Source organism: Homo sapiens, chromosome 12 (assembly GCF_000001405.40).
Source record: "Homo sapiens chromosome 12, GRCh38.p14 Primary Assembly".
Taxonomy (NCBI): domain Eukaryota; kingdom Metazoa; phylum Chordata; class Mammalia; order Primates; family Hominidae; genus Homo; species Homo sapiens.
This window is the reverse complement of record NC_000012.12, coordinates 55,549,127-55,557,221: the sequence shown is the minus strand read 5'-3', so window position 1 is coordinate 55,557,221 and position 8,095 is coordinate 55,549,127. Positions and strand designations below refer to the sequence as shown.

General features: G+C 35.7%; 1 protein-coding gene across 2 annotated transcripts; it reads right to left on the bottom strand.

The window, feature by feature from the left end:
* Positions 1-1,389: 1,389 nt before the first annotated feature.
* On the bottom strand, positions 1,390-7,620 carry OR6C4 (olfactory receptor family 6 subfamily C member 4). Of its 2 annotated transcripts, none has more exons than NM_001005494.2 (2): positions 7,104-7,620; positions 1,390-6,013 (listed from the first exon to the last, which is right to left on the bottom strand). In NM_001005494.2, exon 2 carries the CDS (start codon positions 5,993-5,995, stop codon positions 5,066-5,068), a length of 930 nt encoding a protein of 309 aa, NP_001005494.1. In that variant the 5' UTR covers positions 5,996-6,013; positions 7,104-7,620; the 3' UTR covers positions 1,390-5,065. The 2 variants fall into 2 exon arrangements, with proteins under 2 accessions (NP_001005494.1, NP_001372904.1); NM_001385975.1 differs by having other exon boundaries at positions 7,256-7,620.
* Positions 7,621-8,095: the final 475 nt, after the last annotated feature.

Here is an 8,095-nt window from a genome sequence, read left to right as displayed (position 1 = left end):
TTCTGTTCTAATTTGTGTATTTCTTTTAAAAATTATTTTGAATTTGTTCTTTGTGTGGTGAGCCTTCTGAAGTGATCTTTTATCTTACCATCACATTTAAATGTCTGATGATCTATTTTACCATCACATTTAAATGTCTGATTTTAAAGGTGTATATTTCCTTTATCTATTCTGTATGATATTTATGATATCTGTTAGTTGCTATCTTTCTATATTATAGAAAATATATTATTTCCTTTTTTTCTTCTCTTTTTTCCTTTTCTTTTCACCCATGATTCTTATTGTCTAGATTTTTTTTGGCATTTGCACTTGTCTTTTGGTATCTATCTATCTATTGATCTATCATTTCTCCCTATTTAATCTTTTTATTTTTTTCTTTTGTCTTAATGGGGAGTTTATTAGACCTGATCTTCTAGCTCATTATTTCTACTTTGGTTCTACCTGTCGTGGTATTATTCTCACTTGTTTTATTCTTTATTTCTTTTATTATGTTTTTTATTTCTCTATTTCTCTTTTACAACCTTTTGTTAATTTGGACACTTACTACGTTTTTAAACCTCATTACTTTATAATGTTTTGTCCTTAATTTTACCAGTATCTTTTTTATCTTTTTGAAGAAATTATAATTATTCAAAATTTTTGATATTTCTGCTTTAATTTTTTTATATCATATATTTTCCAGTATGTAGCTTTTTCCCCTCCAAGTAGATCTGTTCCTCAGATGAGTGGTTGCTTTAGCTTTAGAGCATGTGACTCCACTATAGCTTTAGCTATACTATCTAATGATATGTATGAAAAAAAGCTTAAGCCCTGGTTTTTGACCTTCAACGTGAATTTAAATAAATGGGTAAATGTGATTTTCAGGCCAGAGAACCCAAGTCATTACAAACTGTCCTTAATCATCCTATGTGATGCCTTACCTGGCTTCCTAAAAAATTCTCGGTTAAAGATATACAAAAGGCCAAGAAACATATTTAAAAAGTTCAATACCACGAATCATCAGGGATATGAGAATTAAAACCACAATGAGATACTGCTATATTCCTGCAAGAATGGCCATTATTAAAAAGTCAAAAAGCAATAGATGTTGGCGTGGATGTGGGGAAAATGGAAAGCTTATTGCTGCTGGTGGGAATGTAAATTAGTACAACCTCTATTGAAAACAGTATGGTGATTCCTTAAGGAGCTAAAAGCAAACATACCATTTGATCCAGCAATCTCACTACTGGGTATTTACCCAAAGGAAAAGAAGTCATTATATGAAAAAGACACTGGCATATGTATGTTTATAGAAGCACAATTCACAATTGCAAAGACGTGGAACCAACCTAAGTGCCCAATGATTAATGAATGGATAAAGAAAATGTGCTATATATACACCATGAAATACTACTCAGCCATGAAAAGAAGCAACATTTTTTATTATTTTATTTTATGTTTTTTTGAGACAGAGTCTTGCTGTGTTGCCCAGCCTGGAGTACAGTGGCATAAACTCAGCTCACTACAACCTCTGCCTCCCTGGTTCAAGTGATTCTTGTACCTTAGCCTCCCAAGTAGCTGGAACTACAGGCACGTGCCACCACACCAGGCTAATTTTTGTATTTTTGATAGAGACAGGGTTTCACCATGTTGGCCAGGCTGGTCTCGAACTCCTGAACTCAAGTGATCCACCCTCCTCAGCCTCCCAAATTTCTGGGATTACAGGCAAGAGCCACTGCACCTGGCCTGGAAAGGAACAAAAGAATGTATTTTGCAGCAGTTTGGATGGAGCTGGAAGTCGTTATTCTAAGTGAAGTAATACGGGAGTGGAAAACCAAAAACTATGTTCTCACTTATAAGTATGTTCTCACTCGTAAGTGGGAGCTAAGCTATGAGTATGCAAAGGCACACAGAGTGGTATAATGAACTTTAGAGACTCAGAAGGGGAATGATGGGAGGGGGCTAGGGATAAAAAAACTACAGCTTAGGTCCAATGTATACTACTTGGGTGACAGGTGCACTAAAATCCCAGAATTCACCACTATTTAATTCACTGATGTAACAAAAGGCCACTTGTACTCCAAGTGATTCTTGTGCTTCAGCCTTCCCAGTAGCTGGAATTACAGGCACGCATCACCATGCCTGGCTGATTTTTGTATTTTTATTTGGTTGGTGCAAAAGTAATTGCAGTTTTTGCCATTACTTTTAGTAGCAAAAACCACAATTACTTTTCTATCAATGTAATAGTAGAAACGGGGTTTCACTGTGTTGGCCAGGCTGTTCTTGAACTCCTGACCTCAAGTGATCCGCCTGCCTCAGCCTCCCAAAGAGCTGGGATTAGAAGTGTGAGTCACTGATCCTGGCTGAAATAAAAAAAATTAAAAAATATATTTTATTGTTTTGAATTTTATTTAAAACTCTTTGCAAGAAATGATGCTGGAAGACTACCTGTTTAGAATTGTAATCCATATATCCACAAGCTCTGGCAGCTTTAAAGAGAGGCAATAGAAGAATGAATGCCCAAATGTAGCAGATTGGCTTTTACTCATTTTCATAGTCTCCTCACCCTAGCACTGGTATAATATGATTCTGAGAATGTTAGGCAGCTAAAGCTGTTTCTTTTAATTCTTGTCCACTTTGGTGACATGAGGAATCAAACTCACCATTTTATATATTTAGATACTGAATATTCTGGTAGCTCAGCACCAGACTCTGTGAAGTCATTCCTTTTGCTTATCTATGACTTGGATTACATTCCAAGTATGAATTAACATACAGCCAGACTAGATGAACAGCTTTAGAAGAATATGACTTGCTTTTTTTTTTTTGACAAGCTCATTTAGAAGGTGATACATTCTTTTCCATGTTCATTTCCAAATGCTTATATAAAGAATGCTGAGTGAACTCTTGCCTAGTGATCTTAAACATTAACTTACACAAAGTACCTTCCTTCCTTGTCTCAGCATGTTAATACATCCTGTCTCTCCCATAGATATCTAGGGCAATGAAGTTGATGCTAGCCCAGTTCTTATAACCTGCTGCCAAGTATTTTGATGGCTTTATCTGAAGAGTAGGTAAGATCTTTGCTGACCCAGCTACCCAGCATGCAGCTGGATGTGTGGAGAGTAGAAATATGCTGGCCTTGTGCAGATGGATTTCAAGTACAATGGCCAACATTTTTACTGTCCCTGCTATATTAAACCAACCAATTTAATGCCTTCTTTCTAGTTAAGCTCCAGTTCCTTGAAAAATATATTGTTTATAATATAGTTATAATAGATGTCATTTATTAAACACAATAAATACTGGCTGTCTTTTAATATTTTACATCTATTTTCTCAGTGAATGCTCAAAACTATAAGATAGACACTATTATTGTAAACATTTTAGAGTTGACAGAGGTGAGCCTTAGAGAGATCAAGTAACTATCCCCAGGTAACTTTGGTAGAAAGTTGAAAATCTGGGATTTGAACTAAAGCCTATGTTTTAAGCCACTATATGACATTGCTCCCACTGTACCATAGGTTTTAGTAGAAATGTGGGTGTAGGGGAACTTAATGATTTAGATGTGGCTATTCAAGAACACTTCTTGTTCTTGTAGTGCATTAAATTTGGAATATATTGAATATTATCACTAATCTCTAGCTAGCAACCAAAGAAAACAAGATACTCAGAATAGCAACAGCTTTACATAAAATACTTTTTCAAAAATATTATACATTCTCCAATACCTTCTGTGGCTCTGATAATTTGCTCTCATAATCAGTTCAATCCAGCTTGTTCCTTAAATGCTTGAGAAGTACCTCATTTTACTCAACATATTACCACATATAAAGCATGTGAAAATACCAGATTGTGTTCCACTTTTACCCCAAATAGTAACAAAGCTCCTGCAATTTTTTAAGATATTATTAAACTGTGTACAAATGCTCAGATTAAAAAAAAGTGCTTACTTCCATTGAAATTGGACACTACCACTACCTATTCAAATTCAAGTTGTCATTGCCTTGAATCCATGTGTAAAGTTTTTGGTAGGATAGTCTATTTCTAGTTGTTTTTCAAGACTCATAATTTGGAACATTCTAGATATAAGATTGCATTGACACTTTATATTCTTTTTACTTTATAAAATGGTCATCCATGGTTTATGTTACAAACGAAAGCAAAAATCTGGGGGAAAGTTAAAGAAGTAGAGCCAGATAACAGAATTTTCTTTTCTAATATCTAATAAAGTGAAACAAAAGGATGAAAATAAAATCATGATAGGAAGGAAAAAATTACCAGAAACTATCAAAGAGAGAGAAAACAGATCTCATGCCATTAACTTAAAATGTCACCTAAGAAAAGAAACAATAGATTTTGTCTAGGAGAATGAAAGCCTTCTAAACTTGTCTCTAGAAACCTGTTTTAACCATAAACTAGAAAATGGACATATTAAGTTGACAAAAATCTTAAAAATTTTCTCCTCATTTGGAGAAAAGTAGACTAAATATATATTCTTTCATTTTCCTCTTATGAAAGGAGGGAAGTTGCAATGGTTACATTTGAAATATAGATGAAAAAATGGAGGAGAAGAAAAATTATTCACTCCTCGATGGAAACATAGTCTCCAGGGCTCCATGCTGAAGAACAATGCTGATACTACATTCTCCTCAAAACAATTCTGAAAATTTCTTGACTCATGAAACCCAGCTAACTCAGTAGTTGTAATTACTTACTTTTATGATCTGGTTTCCTTTTTCACTCTAAATTCTTATCCTCCTACTCTTCTAAATAAACAATCTGTTTTGCTTCTTAAATTTCAAATAATTTATGGAAAACAGAACTAATTCTTTCCAACTGTTCCTTTTCAGATCCCCATTCACTCTTCTCTAATAACAATTAAAATATTATTTTGTTTTTTGTAAATTTATTACATAAATTTACCATTTATATATCTTTCCTTGATTCTAGACTATAGTTTTCTTGAAATTAAGACATATACTTTTCCTATTTTAATCTTCAAGGGCCAATTTAGCACTTGAAATATAGACATTCAATGCATATTTGTTAAGTGAAAATGTATTTTGAAGTGTAATCTCCTTTTTTAAAGTTTCACAATCTTTTTGACTGAGTCCTTGAAAGCTTGTTTCACTTGCTGATTTCTTAAAGTATATATGAAGGGATTCAGTAAGGGAGTAACCGAAGTAATGAGTACAGCTATTCCTTTGTTGAAAGCACCTCCTTCTTTTGCAGAAGGATTAATGTACATAAACATGCAGCTGCCATAAGAGAGGGAGATGACAATCATGTGGGAGGAACAAGTGGAAAAGGCCTTTGTCCTTTGCTGGGCAGAAGGGATCCTCAGAATAGTCCTGATAATGTATGTGTAAGAAAGTGTCACCAGCACCAGAGTAACCATGAGAGTCACAACGGCCAAGAGGATGACCATCAGTTCTAAGAGGCTTGTGTCTGAGCAGGCAAGCTCCACGAGAGGCCCATAGTCACAGTAATAGTGATTCAGAATGTTGGAGACACAGAAATCTACCTGGGTCATCAGGATGATTGGTGGTAAGATTGCTAGGAATCCCCCCAACCAGGAGCAGAACACTAGTTGTATGCAGACTCTGCTGCTCATAATAGTCAGGTAATGCAAGGGTTTGCAGATGGCCACATAACGATCATAAGACATGGAGGCCAGGAGGTAAAACTCGGTAGCTCCAAGAAATATAGCAAAAAAATACTGAGTCAAGCAGCCAGCAAAGCTGATAACTTTATTTCCTGTTGTCATGCTGGTCAGAAATCTGGGAATAAAAATGGATGTGAAGGAAATTTCTAAGAAGGAGAAATTCCGGAGGAAGAAATACATGGGGGTCTGGAGGTGGGGGTCTAGTAAGGTGAGGGTGATAATAGTCAGATTTCCTAGGATACTTAGCATGTAGGTGAGGAACAGAAAGATGAATATCATCACTTGGAGTTCAGGTTGATTTGTAAGGCCCAGTAGAATAAACTCACCAAACATGGTTCTGTTTTTCATTGTTGACCTTCGGAAAACCTAAAGGCAAAAGGTGAGAATGATGAAAATTGAAGAGTTTCTTAGAGTAGGAGACATAAAGCTTATCTTAATGAACAGAATCAGGTCATACATTGCTCACCATCCATATGGCCCAAACCAGTGTCCCATTGGGGTGCACTTGGCTCCATGCAAGCCCCATATCTTTTGTTTAAGTGACCTTTTTCATTTCTCAAGTTGACCTGTTCCTGGGCACTTAAGAAAACTTATTATAGAATAACTCATTTTTTTTCAGAAAAATAGAAGTTTTTGAACCTGTTGTTTCCTTTCAAATGTTTATACAATCTTCACAAGTAAAGCACTTACTCTTGACTGTATTATAAGCTCTCCTAATTCTGTGCTTTTGGCACACATCTCTCTACCTCATTCTGTTTTCTGTGCTTTCCTGTTTCTTTCTTTCCTTTCTCTGCACTATTTGATGCCTCACTGGATATCTGCTATAGATCCTTATCTCCATTACTGTCCAAATCTCTGACATCCTTGTTTCAGAAACAAGTAGGAATTTCCCTACACAGGCAATGCTGAAGATCATCTCATTTTGTATTGTGAGTCTTTTCCTCTACATGAACAAGGTTCAAGCATCAATATGTCATATTAATTTACATTTTATGTTTCTCTGCCACATTCAGAGTCTTCCAGGCACTGATTTGAGATATGTCTCGGAGAAGAGAAATTTTGAGAACTCTGTAAGCAGCATCACGGAATGGATTTTTCTCAGTCTTAGAGTCCCCAGTGGCAACTAAGGATGACAGTTTATCATGACCCAAACTCTCCTGTTTTCTATTCTTGTCTTACAGAAACCAGAAAAAGTTTTTGATAATAAGAGTTCTTTGTAGATAAAGTGGTAATTCTCAGGGAAGAAAAATTTGGTGGTAGTATTGTGAGTGCATCTTTAGATTTTTCTGATTAAGAGGCAAATATAATATAAAGGGGTCCCTCTAATTTACATGCACATGGATTAGAAAAATTATGTTATTAAAATCATTCTTGTCAACTTTCCATACAGGTTTTGGAGGTCTTAGATGATGTGACCTGGGTCTCCTGCAGCCCTCTTTTCCTTGTTTATACTAACCTGTGGTCTTTGGCAAGTACTGCATTTTCTTCCAGATTTTCACAGTTGATTCATTTCATGATCCACATTTATAGAATGATAAAATCAGTGACTTTAAAAACATATGTTGCTCATACCTTTGACAACCTGAATGACTATAGTATACTGTTTACCTTGTTGTTCCTAAGAGGTAAATCAAAGATGAGATGTGCCACGTGAATCTTTGAGTAGTATATACTTTAACATGTTTTCTATTGGCTTCCATCCACATTTTACCTTTCTCTTAATAGAAGTATCCAAACTTATGGAACTTAACCAGAAAAAAGAGCATATTATTTTCCATTCTAAGAATCCAATCCAGAATCAAATCATAGTTCCTGAGAGACAGAGAACTTCACATAGGTAATAAAAAATAAAAACAAAGCCCATAGCAGTTATTGAATTGGAAGAAAATACTTTGAGAGACAGAAAATTTCTGAAAATTTATGTTCTAAGAGAGATTATGTTGAAGTTCTTAGATGGCAGAGGATGGGCATCTCTGCAGTTTCTGTGTTAGCTAGAGCAACACAGGTTTTATCTGCTCTTTTTAGAGCAGGCACATGGGATCAATTTCCTGAAGAAGCTAAAGAAGCCCTGTGGACCCACGTTCAAAAGGGGCTAATGAACCTCAGTCGTTGGCAATTTTGAGAACAAACTGTAAACATATGACTGAGAAGAGAGGTTCCAGAGAGACCATTGAGATAAAGGTTCCATGAGAGAATCTGCCACAGCCATGAAGTTTGTGGAGAAATGTAGAGCAATGGATGGACACTCCCTGGGGATGGGTGTGCCTGGCCTTGTCATTATTTCTATTATCTCTCCTTTAATAATCCTGTTTGGCCAGTGCTCCAACATGATGTAAATGAATGACAACTCACAGTAAATCACCATAACCTGAATGCTGTGGTATCCTCCATGAATCTCCCATGTCTAAATTACCAAATTACTGACTCCATCAAACCAACAGCTGGAAA